We start from the raw sequence: 24,317 nt of genomic DNA, 5'->3' as shown, positions 1-24,317 counted from the left end.
AGGTAGTATTTGAAACAGAACCTGAAAACAAGCAGAATTTCGACAGGCAAAGCTGAGTTTGAGTGGACAAAATCGTACTTGAAATAGGGCGAAGCAAAAGCAAGAGGCATGGAAGAGGGAAACGACTGAGTGTTTAGGGATCACGAATAATCCAGGTAGGCCTGTTGTGGACTATATTTAAAGAAGAGCAGATCCTACAGTTAGAAATGTAGGCAGGCAGTAGGGGAGGCCTGCATCCCAGGTGAAGGGAAGCAATCTGTTTTCAAGGGTTAAATGCAAAGCTGGTTGTCCAGAAGTGTGAGCCGATAAGATGCAGGCACCAGAGAGACTGAGAAGTCTCTGCAGGAGTCCAGAAGAGAAGGCAGTAGACACTGAAATGCAGGCAGGATGTGAGAGGCAATGAGGGGAGATAAAATCTACAGACTTTGCCAACATTCTGGATACAGAGGATTGCAACAGGAGAGAAAGTCAGAGATGAAATGGCGATTGTATTCCTGGGTGACTTGCAGAATGGTTGGGGAGAAAGCCAGGTGTGATTTCGAATACCTCATACTTAAAGCACAGCTCAGCTGTCACCATTCCCAGTGTAAAAATAATCCCAGATTCATTCAAAAAGCCCTCCTTGGGCATCTTCATGTCTTCTCTATTTCTCCTAGACCAAATTCTTCCTGGTTCCTAAATACAAAACTTGGCTGCTTTACGCACCACCCTTCGACCTTTATCACCGCTCTCTCTGGTTATAGTAGATTCTTTAAATCCTGCACAAAAGCTAATTCCTCCAGGAACCCTCACCCACACTTTAACTGGCCACATACAATAAACACTTGAGGTCTTAATGCTTTGACAGACATACACGGCATTTTATTCAAACTTGCATGTACCTGGCATCCTGCTTTGCCATAAAACTGGGTTTTGAAAATTGTATTTAAGGTACAACGTGATGCTTCCATATACTTATAGTGAAATGGCTACCATATAGTCCAGCAAATTAAAATCTCAGTCATCTCAAATAGTTTCCCTTTTTTTGAGATATGAATAAATTATAACTAAAGATTTCTTTTACCCTCAAATACAGTTTAAATTTCTATTTAAAAACTTAAATGTACATAGGATGTGTCAGATTGGACTTGATGCTATAAATTAAAAGTAAACAAGTGCTGGTCATCTATTAATAGTTACCCAATTCTGGTCATCAATTCTTCCCAGTTACTATTAAAATCCCTCAAAGTAGGTTCTTATACAAGGGTAACTTGTAAACTTTTTATTTATCCAATCCATTAGTAAGTAAATGAGCTATCAGTTACATTAAGACAGACATCTAAGTTGGTTCACAGGGAACACGTGTGTGAACTAGGTCAGACAGTAAATGACAATCTCCAAATCTAGCAGGACCACAGAAGAGCACTCAGGGAAAGCAAGCAAATTCCTTTCCACAGAAGAGCTGCCAGTCAAGGGAGACTGCTGGATGTAGAGGATCACACTACTGTAATTGAAATCACTATCAATAAATCTAGTTTTGTCAATATTTGCATATTTCAGCCTCTGTGGATGCATGAATAAGCAAGTTCCAAGACCATACCAGACAGCATCAAAAGGTGTTTCTTACTAATATTTATCAGATTTTATATCATATTCAGAGCTTCTACACAGAATCTTAATAGTGTCATTTTATGTTAACTTAATATGTTATTTTAAAAGATCTTTGTAGATTACTGCATGTTCTCACTCATAGGTGGGAAATGAACAATGGGAACACTTGGACACAGGAAGGGGAACATCACACACCGGGGCCTGTCGTGGGGTGGGGGGAGCAGGGAGGAATAGCATTAGGAGATATACCTAATGTAAATGACGAGTTAATGGGTGCGGCACACCAACATGGCACATGTATACATATGTAACAAACCTGCATGTTGTGCACATGTATCCTAGAACTTAAAGTATAATAAATATATATATATTTTAAAAAGATCTTTGTAGATTACTAAGCAATGTTAAAATAACTTCCTTTTTTCATATATGAAAACTAACTTCCAGCATGTCAACTTTTTTAAATAGCAAAATATTTCCACTGAGGGGTTTCAAACTTCTTAAATCACCAAATCATAAATTACTATAGTTTTGTCCTTATAATTTGAAGATAAATGTGATAATCTCAAATTTGTCTTTTTATATGCTACAGCTCTAATTCCTACTTCTGAGTATTCAATAATTAGAGCAAAATCCTCTATTAAAAAGAAGTTTCATAATACGTAATTATATAACAAGTAGTCTAGTATTACCCCTTGTTCTTTCATCACCTACACTGTTCAGACATTGTTCCAGGATATTGTTTAAATTATTTTTATTAAACTATATGCAAAATTCTAGTCAAGCACAAAAATATTTCATGGTATCATAAAACTCGCTATTTTATCAACTGTGTAAAAATGCTAAATACTACCAAGATGTGCCATATGAAATTATTCCTAACTACTTCCTGAACATTATCAACTTAAGCAATTCATAATCGTTCAACTACCTAACCCAAATTCAAACTTTAAATAATTTCACACAAAAAAAATATGAATCAGCAAGCTTGCTACATCACTCAACAGCAATCAGATCCAATGAATGTAATCACCATGGTGTAAAAGGGTCTGTGTGTTTCCATTAGATTCTCCATGTCCTTTGGAACTGCATAGCTCAGGACCATTAAAAAAAAAAAATGTATCCTTTTAGAATGCCCAGGGTGAAAGGCTCTTGACTTTCCTTTGAGGTCCTAAGACCTAGAATCAAGGATGTTTCATCCATCTACTATATGCATGTGCTTGGGGAAATCCAAAGTTTCTTCTTTTATAAAATGCCACCTTTTCTATATGGATTATTTGTGCCAGCATGTATTAAAATGCCTGGTAAGCAATAAAACACAGTATAAATGTGACTTATTCTATTATATAATGTTAATCAATTCATAGGAGTTGATATAAAAATCTATTATTCCAAGTAGTTCACTTTTCTCCCTGTTTCTCTTCTACATGCATCACCATTATCTTTATACTTTATTTTTAAATCTCAAAGTACAGGTGGTGTGCATTTCTCTAAAGCCCAGGCACCAAACTGTTAGCACAAATTCTGCCATTTTTACTCAATAAGATTTATTTATGGATATCTAATCATAAATTAAACTGGTAACATTCAGGAAGTAGTTAGCAATAATTTAATATGGCACCTATTTACAGTGTTTAATATTTTTACAAACTGGGTGAGTCATTTTTTAGATGCAATGTCTTATTTAACCCTAAGTAACAAGTCTGATTTTTCAATGAGTCCAATTTTCAATGAAATCCAACATTAAGTATCAAACGAGTACTGTGAAAGAACAAATAAGCATGTTTATGCATTCATACCTTTTTGTCCTCAGTGAATTTATACTTTGGTTAAAGAAGCAAGACATAAACAAGTAATTTCATTTCCTACTTTGCAGAGAAAATAGGAGCCCCTCTGATAGCTAACTGTGGGAGTTCCTAAAGCCAAACGCGCAAGTTCACTAACATCTGTACCCATCCATTCCTCCTGCCTCCTTGTTTCCAGGACAACTATGCTCTTCCAGGCCGAGACCTATTCCCTCACTTTTAGACTCCACACTTATCTACCTTTCAGGACTCTTATACCATCAACTACCCTTTACTCTCTCCTTCCTATATATTCCTTTATAGCTCACCTCTCAATTGGATCAGATTTTATATCACATTCAGAGCTCCTATGCAGATGAGATTCCTATCCTAACCAGGTGAGAAAGAAAGCTAGAAAGCCTACATGTTGGTGACTGGCCAGGGGCTGCCGGAGTAAGGCATGTGATTGAACAGTCCCTTCACTACACAAGGGACTAGAGGAAGCAAGTGAGTGTAAAATTCCAGCCAGTATTCCACCAGCCAAGCCATGTGCTCAAGAGAAAGGGTACCTCTTGTTAAGTTGCAAAGGCACCATATGGGTTAGGGGTGGCCCCATGAATATCAGCCATTTAGGCAAAGCAGTAATCCATGTGTCACCTAGGACACATTCTGCCCCTGTGGTTTCCCACACCCAACTCATCATCAAATCTTTTTTATTTTACCTGCTAAATCTTTCTCAGACCCACCCACTTCTGCTTACAGCCGGACCACACCACACTAGATCAAATCACTACCACCTCTCACCTGGACTATGCAATGGTCTTCCCCTTCCAGGCCTTCCAATCTATGCACATGGTGCAACCAGAGTAACTCCTTCCCATTGCTCTTGGGGTACAGACCAAGCTCTCCCAGTGTAGCCGCAGAACCTTTGGGCAAGAAGACCCCAGCCCAAGCTTGCCTTCCTCAGGTGAGTCTTTCTACATCTTCTGAACTAAGTTAAATGCCTCTGTTACCCACTCCATGACATCACTGCTCCTTTTTTTCAAGCAATTATTACAGTTGTACTTACACAGGTTTGTGTGGTCATTTGGCCCACTGTCCACCAGCCTTGGGCACATGGTATAACTGTGTTCGCCCCTGCATCCCCAACACTCATCATGGTGCCCAGCCCACAGATATACATGAATACTTTTTTGGATTAATAAACACAAAACGATAAATTCTATAGCCAATAACTTGGGAAGAGTAAGACAAAATATATGACATGAGTACTGAGGAAACTCAAACAAGGGAGAAATTTTTCTATGAGTAGGTTTAACAACAGGAGTGTTTTTTTAAAGGGGCAGGGGAAGCATCAGGGGAAAAAAGCCCTAAGATGGCATAAGTCAGAGAATGGCACAAGTGGAGCTGGGCAACACTGGAGAGGAACAAAAGAACTGGATGAAAGAGGGGGTGCAAGCAGAGGGCCTTGAAAGATTAAGAGAAAGTTTTACATTGTGGATCCAGGAACTGAGGCATGGTTAAATCAAGATTCACTTGGCAGAGTGAAGTTATATCTGACTTCGCTCAGGGAGAGGTAGGAGTTTATGAGCTGTTTCAGAGATGCAGCAGAATAACAGACCAGGCTTGGTAGCTGGCTCAATAGAGGGAAGGTGGCCAGTTTAGTCAATTAAAATCCAAAGCAGCTGCCAACATGATCCCAGGATGGGAGGGCTGTTTGTTGGCGGGACAGTCCTTCCATAAAGGGGTGGGACAAGATCATGGATCAGCTTGTACTCACAGACAGAAATGTAACATTAATTTTATAATGTGGCTAAACAAAATGGGAGCGTTTCATGGTTCCAGTTACTGAAGTATCACGAATTTGGTTTTTCAGTTGGGTGGTGGGGGGAGAGTGGAAAATGAAAGCACAAGTAGTCTTCTGTTTTTGTTTTGTTTTCTTCTCTCATTTCCTATCCATAACCCTACCTTGACCAATAAGAGGAAGAGAAAGCGATGAATTTTAACATGTTCTTCCCCAGGCCTTTCATTCTGGTGCTATATGACCAATCACTGGTCAAAGGCATTCTACAGAAGAATTAAGAGATATGCACATGTGGGGAAGTGAAATGTGTATAAAATTTCAGTTTTACAAGAGTTATGGAGATGGATGCTGGTGATGGATGCGTAACATTATGAATATGCATTTAGTATCACTGAACTGTACACTTAAAAATAGTTAAGATGTGTATTTTACCACAATAAGAAAAAGGAAGGAGGAGGAGAAAGAGAGAGTGACGTACATTCTCTGTAGAAGATGGTCGCAGTGGTGGCCAAATATGTTGGGCCTCCCTGAAGTATTCCCTTCTACACTGCCTGGCCATGTAACTTGCTTTGGCCAGAGAGACAATAGCAAACTTCAGGCAAACAGATATGAAAAGTGCTTGAGCACCAGAGCGGCCTTCTTTTCTGCCACCATGTCAACAAGCCTGGGCCAATCTGCTGGAATATGTGGCGCTCTCTCGCTCACTCTCTCTCACATGCAAACATATGGCCCCAGCTAACTATCAGCCACCAGCTGACCAGAGATGCAGGGGTGAGTCCAGCTGAAACCAATCCAAACTGCCAACCCACAAAAGTATGTGCTAAATAGATGGCTTCTCTTTTAAGCCACCAAGTTTCAGTGTAGTTTGTTACACAGCAAAAGATAATAAGATTCACTATGAAAACGAAGCTATTGGTCCCTAAGAATATATGCAAATTCTTTGTCACTTTTGCATTTTATTCACCAGCAACTAGAAAGCTGTAACAGGGAAAAGACTGGTGTAAGAGATTTCGTTTTTAAGTTTACAACCAAGATCACAGTCTCCACCTTCTCACAGGCTTATTGCTTGACAGTCTTAGCATTAAAAGCTTTATTTACTTAAGGGACTACATAGATTCCAGTTGTTCTGTAAAGTCGGAAAGGACAGTCAGAGAAAACCAAAACAAGAGCTATAAGACACAACATGTGATATGAATACAATAACTATATTTACACCAAAGTAAAAAGTAGGGGGGATACCTAGTCTAACAAGAAAGAACATCTAAAATAAGAATATCCTATATTTTCCAGATTATATACCCACCACATTTAGAAAATTAGTATTAAAGTAGAAGAAAAAGTAATTAACATTTAGTAAGTGCTCCCTGTGGAAAGAGCACTGCGCTAGGGGCTTTGCATCATACACCCTCTCACCCACCCACACACCACCTGCCCCCATATAATCCTCACAACTATGCCTGAATATTATCTGCCTATATTTTGTAAATGAGGAAACTGAAAGCAATTAAGTGAGTCTTCCCAAATCACAAAGCTAGTGAGTGGAGGAGCTGGTATTTGATTATAGGTCCCACTACTTTTAAAGTCCATGTTTTTTCTCTATTTTGTTCTATAATACCTCCAGAAAACACCACTGCAGGGAGGCACAGCCTCCACTCCTCATGACTCTGCAGAGCACAACACCAGAACTTAAGGATTGGCACTGGGTGCAGAAAACAACCCTACATCAAGACACATGTGCCCTACAGAAAAATTAAACAAGCCAAAATGATGATGGCTGCCTCTCCCCAAAAAAAGTGCAGGATAAACTTTTCAAGATCTCCAGGAAGGTTAAAAATATTTCATAAGTTCACATGGAACTGTTACTAAACCAGATACCTTTCAAACCAACAGTGTTTTTTCCTTACCCAAACCTACCTTTCCAAATAAAATTCACTCTTTAAAAATTGTAATTGTCTGATAAAAAGGTGTCCAAGAAAAGAATATCAGGAAATATTCCCATTATATAAGGTAGACAGTTACATAAAAGAAAGAACTATGATACAATAAAGTAATCCACACTCTAATGACTGTGTAAGTGGAGAGGCCACAATTAATCTTCAGGTAAGGAATCCCCTTTCCATTAAAACTAGCAGATCCCATCTGTCCTAACCAACCATCCAAGTATAACTAGCTAGAAAAACAGAGGCAAAAATAATCCACCTAACCTTAAGGACTTACACTTATTTTGGGAAACAAAAGGGACAGTCCGCAAATAAAGATACTGATTATAAGACTTTCCACAAATGAATGAATCCATGTGACTGAAAAGACTGGTGATCTGAGCCGGGATCTCTTCTACCATGATGACCATTTACTGCACACTCAGTACTACATAACCTGTGAACATTTTACACACAGCTCTCTCTTGGAAACAGTGACTAAACTGTTGCTGCTGCTCACGAAGATGTATCAGTTGTGAATCTTTTTTTAAAAATTGTACCTACAGTCTGCTGAGTTGGTCAGATTGTTGCTACCTGTTACTTTCACATAACAGATTCTGAATTGCATCAAGTATAAGTCAGCATGTATCTTGTATTCACTTTCCAACTCAAACATAACGTTATCACAACCTCACTCAGCTCAAAACCTGAGACAGAATTCAAATGAGCAGCCTGTGCTCTGTGAGCAGCGTGCCACTTGTGAGAAGCACCGTGCTCTGAGGCAGTGACAACCTGCCAAAGCTGTACCCCTGACGTCTCACTGCCATCATCGTCCTCATTGCACTTACAGTGTGTGTGTCCGGCACTGGGCCCTCTTCAGAACTTAAGTCGCTTTCCCAAAATACTATGGTACAGTGAGGAGTCTAAATTAGAACCAGGTTCTAACTGCAGGACCCACTCTTAACTGTTAGGTTATACTGCCTCCAATGGCTGCCAACAGCAGACCTGGCATTAGAAAGCTGCATGTTGACAGACCATGTGACTGGCTAAATGGGCACCAGCCGGCACCCAACCAGGCAGGACTTTTAGGTTGCTGCCTAAAATGAGCAACGTAATAGTTGCTACCAACTATTCAGTCACCTAACATCATGGCATCGTCTCATTGTGTTAGGCCAAATGTAGTAATCTTCCGTGGTGCTGATGCCTTGGGGCTTAATATTGTCTTTATCTTCTAGTTTGGACTGAGATATATATGAAATCTTAGTTCTTGTGAGGTCAGCACACTCTCAACATAGCATCAACTGGCAAGCTCCACAACCTGTTAAGTAACATACACCTACTCCAGAACAATCATCAGCAGTTATAATTACTCTAAGATGGTAAGCTTCTAACATTTTGTGAAGGTGAAAAGCAGCCAATATGGTTAGAAAGAGCCTAAGGCAAGCAATCACCAAGTACTAATTTAGTATCTAGTTTCATTCATAATGATCTTCTAAAATTTGGTTGTTTGGAATTTAAAATATTTCCATAGAAAGAATCTCAAGTTGCCAGGCACGGTGGCTCACACCTATAATCCCAGCACTTTGGGAGGCCGAGGAGGGCAGATCACCTGAGGTCGGGAGTTCGAGAGCAGCCTAGCAGCCAAACCAACATGGAGAAACCCCCTCCCTACTAAAAATACAAAATTAGCCAGGCATGGTGGTGCATGCCTGTAATCCCAGCTACTCGGGAGGCTGAGGCAGGAGAATTGCTTGAACCAGGGAGGGTTGTGGTGAGCTGAAATCACGCCATTGCACACCAGCCTGGGCAACAAAAGCAAAACTCTATCTCGAAAAAGAAAAAAAAAAAAGAAATAATATCAAGTTATCAAACAATAAACAAGAAAAAACAATGCCATCTAACCTGTTATGCAGGTGAGAGCAGAATGTGACGGATGACACGTGAAGTCTGGGAGCATGGGGTAGAAATGGAGATGGACTAGAAACTCCTTAAGGTCTTGCCCTATTTATTATAATTTTCTACAGCTTCTCCCACCTCATCCAAGAGTACTGAGAGGCTCTAGGGAAGGAAATAGAGGAGCTACAGTATATTCCATAGCAATGGGACAGACAGAGCTGGCTCCAGAACAGGCTACCCCAGGCTTTAAAAAAAAAAAAATTTTTTTTTAAGTGAAATGTAATAAAATAAGACCTATCACATTACGCTGGCTCCCTCTAGGTGATTAGAAACAAAACAGTTAAATCATCAATGTTTGAAATCATTTCAGTTCTTCTGGATGATCACATAATTTGTTGGTGACATTAAGATATTGGGTTATATCACCTCAGACAAATAAATCTATGGAACAAAATAGATATGCCCTTGTCATCTCATACAAAGCACAGCTCCTACACTTCATCTTAAATCCACACTGCCATGTTAAAACCACTACATATTTAACCACATGACACATGGGAAAATCTAGAAAACTCTGACCAAGATACCACCAGCAAAATGTTCTATAGGTAGTTGCCACAATCATACTTTCACAATCTTTTATTTAAATATGCTAATATCTAATTGCTCTCAAGTTGCATACTGTTCACTATAACACCAAGAAATGTGTTATGTACCATGTTTATTTGAAAGCTCCAGAGTCAGCCAGGGCAGTGGCCCACACCTGTAGTCCCACCTCTTTGGGAGGATCACCTGAGCCACATGGTGAAACCCCATCTCTCCAAATATACAAACTAGCCAGGCATGGTGGTATGTGCCTGTAGTCCCAGCTACTCTGGAGGCTGAGGTGGGAGGATGACTTGAGCCCAGGAGGCAGAGGTTGCAGTGAACTGTGACTGTGCCACTGCACTCCAGCCTGGGTGACAGACCAAGACCCTACCTCAAAAAGAAAAGAAAAAGAGAAAGAGAAGAGAAGAAAAGTCAAGTCATACCACTAGACATCAAGGCTCTGCAAATCTTTACACTGCTCATTTCCATGTTCTCTTTACTAAGAAACAAAGCAAGCCTTAACAATATTAACTATAGTTCAATTCAATGAATGTTTGGTATAAAATATGCCAGGCATTGAGGAAGGGACTATCAGCTACCTTATTTATAAGCAAGAAAACAGGAACAGGTTATCTGCCCAAGATCCCAAAGGCAGAGAGTACTGCAACTAAGCTTTGAACCCAGGCAGTCTAACTCTAGAGCCCTTGCCTCTAACCTTTATGCCATATTACCTCCTCCAACCTCTAATTATATATTTGAGAAATCTTTAAATTGCTATCATTTTATATGAAATTATTCTTTCCTATGGCTGGTGGAGGAGGATTCTCTGACATCATTATAATTGGTCCACCTACCCTATATTCTTCCTGTATTGGCCTCACCCTAACTGACGCAAAAATCCTCTCAAATTATCCTCGATACAGAAAGGTAAAGGGGGTCCTTCCCTGCTTTGTATTGCTGAGTAATTTGATTTTAAACTTCTGACAAACAGGAACCATTCATTTTCCTACTTTTGCTTATGTACAAGGTAAGCACTGGCCTAGTGAAGCTTAGAATGTATACTCAAATACTTGATAATTGTCAAGTCAGGCTGTAAGTGGTTAGCAGTACATTTCTTGTTTTACTGTGAGTTTTAATAGATTTTTGGCATCACTCCTGTGGAACAGTCTTGGTGACACTGTTTTATGGTACCCAGTGTGTTGACAGCAGTCTGACAGATTAACACTATAAAAAGTTGACCACTGTTTACATTTGGTCCAGTAGCTGAGGAGGGTCATGTTCAAACACCTAACTCATGAGTCCACCTATGCTGTACTCTACGTGCTGTGCACAACATAAGGAGCAAGATCAGAGGTGGCACCACGTGTGATTAAAGTGATATACATAGCTGGGACATATTTTTGCTAAAGATTAGAGATTTAAGTTCCAATTTCAGATGCATTCAGGTGAGTGTCCTTTTTGTTCCATACACCAAATTGAAAAATACAGGTGACTGCAAACTGAGGTTTTTGTGGTTTTTTATTTAACTACTAGATTTCATCAATTCCACGACTTTTTTTTGGCATTTCAATGTATCAGAAATAGAATACATCTTACAACTGACACCATCTTAAATTTAATGCAATACAGTAATAAAATGAAGTTGCATATATTCTGGATTCTATGGTTTTCAAGTCTTATGTTACCAACAACCCATTTATTATTTTGGGGATAATGTTAACAATTTGTCTCTGTTTTTCCTTTTCTTATCCTCCTCTGTTTGCTATAGAAGATATAATAATGTTTGAGGGTAAATTAAAGGTAACATAATGTCAAGGAGACAAAAACTTTGAAGCTATTTTATTATAAGTGCAAAGCTATTGCCCTCCTGTGAAGAAAATATAGCCTGAAAGCTTTTCCAGGCTGTCTGCAGCTCAAATGTGTTTCTTCCATGAGAAAGATACAATTCCAAGGTGAAAGAGCTCCAGATGTTAAAGTCTTCCTACTAACCTACACCAACTAACTCCAAGACAGAATAAACTGTTTAACTTTAGTTCAAAAGTCTCAAGAGGCTTCTCTTCCACCTCCCAAATATCAAAATCATGCTCACATATTTTAACAATTAGGTGAGATGCACAGAAGCTAACACTAAATCGGTCTGAAATCTGAGAGCTAAATGTGCAGTTAATATTAATCAAATTCAGATCTCACCTACAGAAAATTTTTAAAAATTATTCTTATGTTCCTTGATTTCAGGAAACTTTAAAAAAAAAGTGGGGGAGGTTCCAATTAAACGTAACTTACTGTAAAACAAAATTTCTTTGAGATTAAAAAAAGCCAAAACTGCCAAGCAATCTAGAAAAGAAAAAAAAAAAACATGCAAAATTTGAAAGTATTGTTTCAGATATATCGCTGGTTAAAATTATGGAAAATTATGGTACCTAAAAAAAGATTTTCCTGTCTATACCACAAAATTACTGAAAAACTGTCAGAGTCCTTCCTTCCATATACAGTATCAGAGAGTTTCTTGAGTTTTACAATCCTTGCAGTATAAAATTTAGAATATTTAAAAAGTAGAAAGACTGAATTAAAAAAAAAAAAACTACCTGCAATCCAAATAATTAACATTAGTTGTGTGCTAATGATGCAACAAGCACTGCTGGAGCATTTTAGATGCACTGTTGCATTAATCCACATAAGCCTGTGAACTAGTAAGTACTGTTACTGCTCCCATGTCACAGCTGAAGAAACTGCGTCTTAGATCAATTAAGTAATTGGCCTGTGGTCATGGAGTTAGTAAGTCACATAGAACTAGTAAGTCACTATCCAAGGTCACACAGTTAAGCGGTCAGGCAGATTCAAACCACATCTGTTTAACTGTGGAATTGTAGCTTTTAATTAAGTGAAACTGCCAATCCCTGAAACTAATAATTTTTTAAATTGATGTATTTCCCCTAGTCTTTTCTTATGTTTATAATTTAATTTGTATTGTTGTAGACACCTGGTCATAGAAATATTTAAAAAATTAAAAAGTAAAAATTTAATTTGTATAAAACTAATCATGATACAGTTAGTATGTTCTTTTGTACTCTTTCAAGCTTCACATTTTTCAAAAACATGATTTTCAGTGCCTGCATGATATTCTAACATGACTACAGCATAAATTTCACCATTCTCAATTTTTCAATGTCAAAAAGAAATGCTGTGGCTTATAACAGTTGACTGGATTTTAGATTTTTCCTTGGGATAGATGACTGATACCACAGGAATGGCCATTTGTAAAGATCTTTATACACACAGTCTCTACTTTCTTCACAAAAAAAGAAGTTTATACTTATGAAACTTCAGGCAACAGTGAGTGTGCAGGTCTCACCATATTCTAGCAGCATAAAGAATATTTTTAAGTCTTGGCTAATTTAATGAGGAGAAGTATATCATTTTAATTTAATTTGCATTTTTAAATTATTCCATAATTTGGAAATTTTTGTGTTTATTGACAATTAAGTTTGCTTTCCACACATTACCTGCTTATATCCTTGACTGCTTTTCTTTCAGACTGCAATTGCTTCTCTGTTGTATTCTCTCACAGAACATGCTGATGCGCCTTTTTAGTAGACCCATACACAAGTATTAGAGTTGCTAAAGCATCAAACATGAGACAATGCTTCCCAACGCTACAACACACACCTCCAAAAGAAAGGTCAAGTATGCTAAGATGATAAACTTCAATTTCTAGTACCTGCATTTCTGTAGCCCTCTTGTGCTATTATCACTGTGCTATTTTGATTCTGAAAGTATAATACTAATATCAAATTCTGTCCTATTATTCTGACTGTACCCAATGTTATAAGGATATTTATAAAAACAATGTCAAATTATATGTTCCAAAATCATTTTTATAAGAAGTTTATTTTAAAACTTGTTTTTAAATGTTAGATACCTATTTTCTTGAACTGTAAGTTGCAGACCTTTATCAATGGAGTAGCTTTATTTCTAAACCTTTCTAAGGTGATCTTTTTACACCTCTCCCTGCTCAAATGTTTTCTATTTTGGATCAAATCTAAGTTCCAAATGTCAACCTTACTTCTCTCGAAAGGAGGCTTTCTAAGCTATTCTCCGCTCCATGCCAGGCTCCTAGTCCCTCTTCCCCCCACCCTGAATGTCCATGGCTGTGTCTTTTCCTCTCTCAGTCCATTTTCCCCGCCTAGCCAAAGCTCTACCACCTCCTGGTTGGGCTATTTCAACAGCCTCTGACTTTTTGCCTCTAGTCTCTCTTCAACCGCAATCCATCACATGCTGCCAAACTAACCTTTCAACTCCATTTCCATCACGTAATATAAGTCAGAATCTCACTCAGTCTAAGCTTCCAATTTCACCACTGCTCAACCTCTCCCTATCTATCCAACCTGCTGCCCCTCTCCCTCAGGGCAGGCTAACTGATCTTCCCTGAGTCCCAGAAGACTGGTCCTTGAATTGAAGGTTGAGGTGGGGAGGGCAACAGGGGGTGGCAGTGGCTGTGTTGCTCTCCCTGGGGGCCATAGCTCCTGCAAAGCTGCCCTCCCAGGAGGACACCAGAGACAAAGGGCTCTTGCCCTGGTCCTTGCAGGATGTTCTGGGCTGGCCACCTGCTCCCTGCCAGGACCCTTGGCTGACAGCCTCTCCGTGATTTTTTTCACATTATCACTCAGTTCCTCTAACTTATCAAAGGAGAGGGCAAGTCACGCTTTCTGATTTCTTTCTCCACTATACAATGACTACAACACATCACGCCTTCTTAGCACTTAATTACAGACTGTGCTATCCTGTTCCACAGGGTCATAAGTGTGTTAACCTGCTCTACCTAGCTAGAAGTAACATTTTTAGTATCTCCCACAGAGCTTAGCAAAGCCATAATCTCACATCTGCACACCTTCACAAACATTAAAGTTATACCGACAAGTTAGTAGCAACAGACTAAAGATCTGCCTGCTCATGGTTCTTATTTATCTTTGAAAAAAGTTAATAACATTTTTCACCAGGCACATCTACATTTCCAAAAGCCAAAAAGATTCTGTTATAAGCCTCACACCGAAATTGCCATTCGCTCTTTAGAGATGTCAATCTGAAAACATTATTGAATTCCTTCCTTGTCTTTAGTGGCCATGCCTTTGCATTCATTAAAGTCCTTCTTAGAATTGCCACAGTCATGGTTCTTTATGTAAAAGTTCACGCTTATGAGTCTGGATAGACCCAGCTTTCTGAAACCCACCTGAGGGCCCACTGGCAAGGCAGGTGACTGCTCTGATGCTTGTGCCACCAAATGGTTCCATGGTGCTGGCATGACACTCTACAGGACAGTTCCCCATGGGGGCTCACAGGAGAAAGCAGCTCCTCCCCAAAAGGCCTTCAGCTGCTAGTTGGATCACTTTCCCTCGGATATAACATTATACTATTGACATTGTTGTGTTAACCTACAAAAGCACTAGGCTAACCCACGGTGTCCCGCCAGTGCCTAACCATAATAAAGCTACCATGGGAAAATGTGTTCCAATCAGATGTCAGGAATGTGGTAATGGGTTTGGGGAGGCCAGAATAACTCACCTCCTCTTCCCACCCACATTCTAATCCAGCTGGGAGAGGGCTGAGCAGGGGCTCGATAGCTGAGGAGGCCAGGGAAGGACAGGCCACAGGCACAGGGCAACCTTGCCCTGCCCAAGACAGGGAGCCTGGACACTAAACTGTTGGGGCTCAGCAGCAACAGAGGTCTTGCCTGTGGAAGGCACCCCACAAGCCCTGCCAGAGGAGCAGAGCTGGAGGGGGGACCCTCTCTCTGCAGGTGCCCCAAGGAAGGCTGAGCGGCAGGAGCAATGGGGTGGCAAGGTCTAAAGGGTGCAGCAGACAGACAGGGACTTGTTCCACAGGGGAGCAGGAAGGAAGCAAGGAAAGGGTCCCCCTAACATGGGTCTTTGCTGTACTCTCCCCAACCGTGCAAGTTGACAGTGACCATAATGACCTAGCAGGCCTGGGACTGCGCTCTGACCGCCAAGGGGGTGTCGCGGAGGGCACAACATAGTGGAGGGAACAAAGATGCCAACAGGCCAGGACACAGGAAGTGGAGTCTGGAGCAGCCCATCAGCTGGGTTGCCAGGACCTGACACCACCAGCGCAGACTTGCAGTGCAGAGCCTAAGTTCAAGAGAAAGGGCTGGGCTTGAAGTTTCACACTTTTGTTTCATGCTTTTGCAGGAAGAAGGAGTTGTTATGATGACTTCGGTTTAAACAGATTGGGAACATTAAGGATAGGAGTTTGGGGGAGATACGAGAAATAAGAATACAGACGTAGGAGTTAGTAGCAAATAAGGTTGCTGTGGGCCTGAACTAGACCCAGAGGATGCCAGGATCAAACCCCTGAGAACAGGCTATATTGAGGGGGTAGGAAGAAAAAGAATAAGCAACTGAGGCAGCATGGAAGGGAAAGCTCAGGACCCTAATGACGCCTTCGGCCAAGGTCCAGGATAACCTGAAGTGTCAGGAAGAGGGGTGGTCAGTATGGCCTCTATCCAAAAGGGAGGGGAATGGGGGAAGGGCCAGGAAAAAAGCTGCCTTATGTGCTTCCTTTATGCCTTTCATATAAGCATCCTGTCTTACACGAAATTATGCTAACAAGTCCTCCAAGAAAGCACTAACCCACTCACTAAATTACCTTTTAAGATGATTCTCATTTTAAATGTATTATATGCCCGTGGAAATAACACTGGCTTGAAATGGTTGCCCCAAAATAGTTACTGTAGCTTAACAAATGTATTAGTTTGGCAGACATGTACCATTTAAACCAGAACTATATACAAAACAAGCTTTTAATTACTCAGTGGTAGAAATGAAAATAAAATTTAACAAATAAATACAAAGCAATCTATCTTCTACCCTTTTAGCACCACCTTTAAAGACTATGGTTTCAAACGCTTAATCAGTCATCCATCTTCACCTTTATAGTAATTAGTGTGTCAAACAGCAGCCACATTCATTCAGTTACATGCAAGAGAATAACATAACTTGCAATATTCCAAAATACACTGTAAGAATTTTTGCAATTCTTATAATATGAATGATGGACAAGCATATTCCTTGCCATTTTCTAAATTTTTCGTATTTCCAAAGTACATTCATTGCATAACATATTGGTCTAACCACATTGCTTCGTAAGTTTCAGAGTACATCAGAAGCACCTTGATAAAAATTCAGATTCTAGATGACCCAGGGAGATTTAATTCAATAAATCTCGTGTGGAGTTGAGGAATCTGCATTTTTAACAAGCACCCTAAGCGACTGTCTAATTCTAACTCCCAATAAATATCTATTTTTTCAGGCATTCTAAGCTTACCAGATAAACTTTTTACAAATTCCACAGGGTCTTTAAAATAATCTAAAACAAACACACTTTACGAGTTTCTTGGAGAAAACAGGTAAGAAAGTTACCTCGGTCCAGCTCACTATTCTAATCTTCCTTAAAGACCAATGGATGCATTATTTCCGCAAAACAACTCTGTACCTTCTTAATCCTGGTGAGGTGGAAGGGAGGAGTGGGTAAGAACATTAGCTGCAGGACTGAGGCAGAAGCCCAGGCTCAGAGACAATCATTTCCTCCTCCCCATGCAACTCAAGTACCAACTACGACTTTACTTTTTCTGCCTGGAGGATAATGGACAAGCACCTTCTAAGCACCTGTCTCAAAACAGTGAGAAAAGGAGGATGGGGGTTCCTTACACGAAGTAGTGTATCAGGAGAGTAAAAGATGCACAAGTAAACTGTATAAATATATGAATTAATGCTTTAATGCCTTGAATAAAAAGACTCGTTTTTCTTACCTCTCGCCTAGTATTAGGTGAAACAAGTCAAATCACTCACTAGATCAATAGCAGGCTGAAGCAGTGTTATAAAGAAGTAAAGAGTCATGTTACAGGTTTGCCAAATAAAGACACTATTATTGTTGATATTATTATGGTAGTGATCCATAAAGAATAATGTCAGCTGGGCACAGACACCTGTAATCCCAGCACTGTGGGAGGCCGAGGTGGATCAGCTGAGGTGAGGAGTTCGAGACCAGCCTGGCCAACATGGCGAAACCCCATCTCTACTAAAAATATAAAAATTAGCCAGGAGTGGTGGCACACACCTGTAATCCCAGCTACTCAGGAGGCTGAGGCACAAGAATTGCTTGAACCCAGGAGGTGGAGGTGGGCAGTGAGCCGAGATCACGCCACTGCACTCCAGCCTGTGAGACAGAGCAGGACTCCGTCAAAAAGAAAGAAAGAAAGAAAGATGCAAATGACATGGGCAGCTCCCTGACCTGAAAATACTGAGCTGCAGAAAATGACAGGGAGTCGGCGACTGTCAACCATTCTGCTAGGTACGGCCTGGGTTTCTGTGCCACTCCCATAGCCCAACCATTCACCATACCGAGACAACAGTAAAACAACAACAAAAATGAAAATTGTGGTGCTATGGCAGTGGCACTGACTGCCAGCCAGCAATTCAGCTACAGCAGTATCACCACCTGTGTGCTCCACAGTGTGGGGAAATTACTTATGTCCTTGAATTGTGTCCTTATTAATGTATTTGACAGCATATAAGACAGTTTTCCTTATCCTGCTGGCCTTTAGCAGCTAAATGGAAGGCTCTCAGCACCCCAGAGTAGCCACAAAGTTCCCTATAAAACTGGAGGTTTGCTTCATACACCAGCCCAGATGTTTATTTTTTTTATTTTTTTTAATAAGTGGGAACATTGAAAAGTTAACATACTAAATCTGGTGATAAACACAGCTCTGAAAATTAACACAATCAAGACAAATATTAAAATATTAAATGCACCAAAAATAGCAAAATTTACATTTTAAGTAGAGGCTTACCATACTCAAGCTAGTCAACAGTTTATTCAAAATTGTGAAAAGAAAAAAACTATAAACATGTACAAAATCCAAAAATACACCATCATAGACTATTCGTGTGGGAGAAAGCAGTATTAAGACTTGGGATTTTTTTTTTTTTAATCCCCTGGCAAAGGAACATCCACCCACTCTGTAACATGTAAGACTACTGATTTATACATTTGAACTGTATACCTATTTGAGAATATGACTGAGTGTATGACTGCGGAAGACAGTCTGTTGTCCTGTGTGTTCACAGAAGCAGTATGCAAATATCTCACGGAGGCTGCATATTCACACAAGTTAACGCAAATACGAGGAACAAGTACTGTGATCTATAGCCAAGTGGTATCCTGAGTTTTTTCGAAGGCAACTCTAGTCCTGTGCAGCGAGATAAAGATGCTAAGTGAATTACATCTTGGATAAACACTGAGAGAAACTTTGAGGAAGTCAATTCTGTAATAAGCTGAATACTTTGATGTCGGCTACGTCTTGGACTGATAAGTGAAAACAGGGTTAGAGCACTACTAAGTCTTGTAATGAGCATGTGTCTTTCAGGTTGAAAATGTCTGCCATTGATAAGATACAACATCTGAGGAAAGAGGCCTCACTGACTATAATCTGTTAACAGACACCATTCAGCCTCTCGATTTTTCTCCAGGAGCTGGTGCTAGAAAGTGCAGGTGTGTAAGATCATGATGTTTGTTGTTCCTATCCTTCTAAGACCTAGGTTATTTTGATGGGACTATCCAAAGCAATTTCTGCAGAGCAGTTAATGCTACAGGCTGTTAAATGAGCCTGTCCTGCTTTGAGTCCCAACACTACTCATTAAAAACTATGATCTTAGACAAATTTATTAAACAACCTCTTCACCTGTAAAATAGCAATTATTATTCCTACCTCAGCATTTTGACTAATCCTACTTTAGGATTCAGCAGAAATAGTTCATGTAAATAGCTTAGCAAAATGCTAACTGACACAAACTTTATGCTCCATAAATGTTAGCTACTGACATCAACCCCTTGGAGCTACTGTTCTTTTAAAACTTTTGATATTGATACATTTGCAAACTTGCAGTAAAGTTAGAATAGTACAAGGATCTCCCATAAATCCACACGTTACCAGTTATTTACTTTTTGACTCACTTATTTTGTTATTCCAAGTCATTTTCAAGTAAAGAAATAGAATAGAATAAAATGAAAATTGTCTATACTCCATCTCTTCCATTTCCCTGCCAATCTGGGTAGCAGTGAGATTCTAAGTAGGCTACCCCAGAGCCTTCCCTCTCCTAAGAACCTTCTTATGTTCTAGTTGCTACTCACATCCCTGACCCCAACCCAAGCCTACTCCCATTTCAGATACCATCTTGTCTCCTCTTTACATGGTAAAGAGAACTTGGGAGGAAGGGACTGAGGAATCAAAGCTTCTGAGATTTGAGGATCTGGAGCTCCTATAGATTTTGAGAACACCCTGTGACCTCTGGTCTAAATCAGAAAACCGTAATATCCCAGAGCTGATCAAACATGCCTACACCACTGATCATCTAGGATAACATCACCCACCATGTTTGGAGAATTGCAGATTTGGGACAAAGAAGAAATGACTGTTTCACTAGAAGGACAGCCATAACTCTGGTAGGAGATGAACATCTTCAGGACAAGAGATAAGCACTCCCTCAAACCTGTCACTTTTAGTACCTGGGATATCTGAATCAACTCTATATAATCAACAAGAGAATTAGGCAAATAACATCTGGTTGCACTGATGGACAAAGGACATAAAGATGTTATTTTCAAATGTCTTCTCCTGAAGAAAAATGAAAATTGTGTAGCCAGTCACCATTTTAGGCCACTCATTCTTGTCCAGTCATCTGTAGGATTATGGTTTGAGGGACTTTTTAAAACAAAAGTAAAAGCAATACATATGATTTGATAAGTTCCATGATTAAACTGAACTAATAAAAATAGTAACCACTCAATGAATATGCCATATGCTATACCAAGTATGTTAGCTGGAGTGCCTCACTTAACCTTCACCATAACCCTGGGCAGTTAGGAGAATGTATTATGTCCATTTTTATGATTCACACCCGTATCTGTCCGACATCAAAACTCAAATTCTCAGCCGCCTCAGAAGGCAACCTCCACAAGAACAACTCTTCTCCTCATCTCCATGTGAGCAGAAGGGCCTTAAGTGTGAAAGGCAAGGACCTGGTCGTTTTAGGTACGAAGACATCCCATGACATATGGCCCCACAACTACAGCAGGCACCAACAGAGGAAGTACAGAAAAAAATAGCCTGGGCTGGTAAGACACAGCAATAGGTAGCATCACAGCATGGCATGGGTATTTTTAACACACCTTTGTCTATTAAGACGGCAACAATGCAAGCTCCAGAGCTGGTCTACGTGGCAACAGCAGCACCATGCTTATGTACACAGATTGTGGAGTCTAGCTCATCTGGATTCAAATTCCTCCTCCACCACGTGCTAGAAATGTATGGCCCTGGGTAATTTAACTTCTCATCCCTTTTAGTCTCCTCATCTGTAAAATGGGGATAATAGTTCTACCTATTACCTAGAGTTGCTCTGATGAGGAAATGAAATGATCCATGACAACACTCAGCTGAGTAACTACCCAACTGGAAATAACAGCCGGTCATTATGGTTATTACTGTTATTTTTAATATTGTTTTATTATTTCTGCACTATTTTACTTGATTGGCCCAACATATACTTCAGGGTGGGGTACACTGTTAATCAAGATTTTGAAATTCTCAAGATGAATATGTATGATTTTTCTTGCAAGATCGGTACACTTGAGATTAATGAAAGCAAAATTTCAAGCACAAACAAGGCCAAGTATACAAGAACATAAAACACTTTAACAGAGACTTTTAAAAAATTATTTAAGGATATGGGCTCAACAATTTCAATATAGTGCCAGTTCTAACCATAAATAATTGCTAGGCTCATACACTTCAAAATACTTCACCAACTGGGGTATTTTTTTTTTATCATATTCCTGTGCTCAAACTGATTTTATTATTCACTTAGTATGCTAGCAAGCACTGCCTTGGAAACTAAAGGCATGCTTATAATTCTTCGAGGGACTTCTCACTATGACTGCTTAGTATTATGTTAAAGATGTTTAATAGTTTTTAGGTGTGTTGAAATAATATGCACATTTGCTAATTATGTTTTAAATATCAACAGACAGATTTCTAAAATGTTGATATAACAGGGCACAGTGGTGCATGCCAGTAATCCCAGCTACTTGGGAGGCTGAGGCAGGAAAAGCCTTTGAGCTCAGGAATTAGAATCCAGCCTGGACAGTATTGTGAGACCCCATCTCGAAAACGAAACAAAACAAAAATGGATAACAAATAAAATGTTTGTGGTTTCTTTCAAAATGATGAAAAGAGGACACAGTGGCCTCTAAAAAGTTAAAGTAGTTCCCCAAACTTGCTGCAGAACTAGAAAGAAAATTAACTAGTAAGGTGCCATGTACCCTTTTTTAGACATACTGCAAATATGGTATAGAAATCTGACTGTTTTACACTGAGGATACTAGGGAAAGGAGGTGATGTGTCCAACCTAACACATGTGTCTAATTGCACACCTTTCCCTACACAAAGGGTGGGTGTGGAAACCCAGGTCGCACGCGGTCCCTGCTCAGCAGCAGATGGCTATTTGCCCAACCTCATCCTGATGAAATACATGGTGGAAAACTCAAATCCACCACATGACCTCTGCTGCCTCCTCAGCCACTGCAGATGCCAGGAGAGAAGGCAGGCCCCAAAGAAGCATCCCCTCTATTCTTCCATTAAAGCCACATCCACAGGGGCCTGCATGCGCCTTTCCATTCGATGTCTACACCTCTTAGAAATGATCTCTTACACCCTAAGAATACACTGCTGGCTGGACCTAATGACAGAATGTATTTTAAAGAGTTTTTTTTTTTTTTTTTTAAGAAAAACTGGCAAGTTGAAGAAATAGTATTAGATATAAATTGCCACAGAGTAGTTGGCACAAGCCCATCTGAAGCTGAAGTTAGTGCACCAAGTTTTCCTGCCATTCCACACGTGGAAACATTACTTCTCCTGAATTTAAGCTTATTCAAATAATCACTCAAAACTATTGCAGGTGAAGGTAAACTTTCACATGAAGCATGTCCCTACAAACAACACAAGACAGGAAGGAACCCAGAAGACTTGACTGAGTCACAATGGCCACCAGAAAGGCCCATGAGGAACACACAATGACAATAAAAGTATCTTTGAAACAGACCCCTAATTAAAGACACTGAGTCCCAGGAAGGTTATCTTTATGCACACAAGAACAAAATTTGATCTATAACAAAAAGTTCTATCACCCATATTGGCTGGCAATCACCCATATTAGCTGGCAAACACAAAAATACAAACACTTCCCTAAAAAAGCTCCAAAATTACTGTCCTGTATTTTCATAATTTTTCTTATATAATATTAAAGTCAGCAATTCAGAAGCTTTTCTGGGTGTAACAGCATCGCTCATCTGCCACCGGCAACCATGCTTTACAATCTACTTTTCATAATAACTGAACAAAGTAACTTTGAAGGTAATTTACTTATTAAACTGGTTTATACATACTCCACTAAAAACCAGGTAAGTATTCTGATAAACATTGGTATTCTTCTCCACATTTATTTAAATAATGTATTCACTCCTTCCTTGCTTCTGTATGACTACAACCAACTTCTAAAATACAACTCTCTCCGAGGGAGACTGCAGCCCCGAGAACATGGGGGACCTGCCACCCACGTGCCGGGAACCCAAAGACCTTGCCCTAATATGTGACTAGCAACAGAAAGCAGCCTCCGTAAGGGGACATACAGAAGAACAAAATGTGCCAAGGTCTGGTTACCACAGGATTCTACGCTCAACCTGGAATGAGCAAACTCCTACAAAGTGCTATGTATCAGGCAAGTAACAAGCAAAGTGCTATGTATTCAGCAAGTAAGGCTTCCCTCCCCTCTCCCATTTCACTGAACCCATTCACATTCCTTGATGAACTCCCCACGTCCAATATCTTTTGGTTAAAGCTAGCAGATTACTTTTTTTAAAGTTCTGGAATGCCACTAGCAATGCAAAGGATAAAACAATGTCATCATGGTCCATTATCAGCTACCTCAGTCATATGCTACAAGAACTCATGAGCTTCCTTCTCAAATCTTCAGCAGATCTGATTCTTGCCTCTGTGAATAGGATCAGTAGCCAACCAGCCAAGCAGGGAACATGCTAGAAACCTATATGCCCTGAGATCTCCCTCTTGAGAGCGCATCTATCCCCAAGTCCTATTCGTTGAAACTGTTAAATATCTCTCAAATCTGTCCATTTCTCTCCATCCCCATGGCCACCACCAATCTAGTCCAAATCATTGTGATTTCCCCATCCCACAGACCACAACAAAAGCAGGCAGGATATTGTCTACAACCTATTGTCCTCTCTGCACCCACCAATTCAATCTTCTTCAAAACACTACTCTGCTCGTGTCAAAGGCTGCTTAACACTCATCAGTGGTTCCTACTGCTTTTTTCAAAAATCCCAAATTTGATATCCTGAAAGCCCTGACCAAGTTGGATACTGCCTGCCTCGAGTCTCATCTTGCAGTTGAATGCCTCAAACACACAGCCTCCCTGCAGGTGAGGGGCACTGCCTGAAGTGCCCTCACCCCTTCTTCTACCATCATTCAGATGGTAATGCTAAAGCCACTTCCTAAGGGGTAATACCCCACCCAACTGACGGAATCCCCAAGTCCTAAGCTCTCACTCCTCCTGGCACCGACTGCATCACACCTATGACCTTACAGTAGCT

The 24,317-nt window shown here is 40.0% G+C and overlaps 1 protein-coding gene across 10 annotated transcripts in view, besides 1 other annotated feature; it reads right to left on the bottom strand.

Moving 5' to 3' along the window:
• The window catches only part of CHD7 (chromodomain helicase DNA binding protein 7), a 189,289-nt gene that overhangs the window by 159,249 nt on the left and 5,723 nt on the right, over nt 1-24,317 (bottom strand). The gene's annotated exons all lie outside the window — the stretch shown is intronic.
• Nucleotides 5,170-5,249: an enhancer, noted in NCBI's record as "active region_27425". NCBI's record gives its function as "activates an Ori minimal core promoter by ATAC-STARR-seq in GM12878 lymphoblastoid cells {active_cell/tissue: GM12878}" and the evidence as "EXISTENCE:reporter gene assay evidence [ECO:0000049][PMID:35858748]".

Source organism: Homo sapiens, chromosome 8, assembly GCF_000001405.40.
Source record: "Homo sapiens chromosome 8, GRCh38.p14 Primary Assembly".
Classification (NCBI taxonomy): Eukaryota; Metazoa; Chordata; class Mammalia; order Primates; family Hominidae; genus Homo; species Homo sapiens.
Note: the sequence above shows the minus strand (reverse complement) of the source record. Positions and strands in the feature narration are given on the sequence as shown.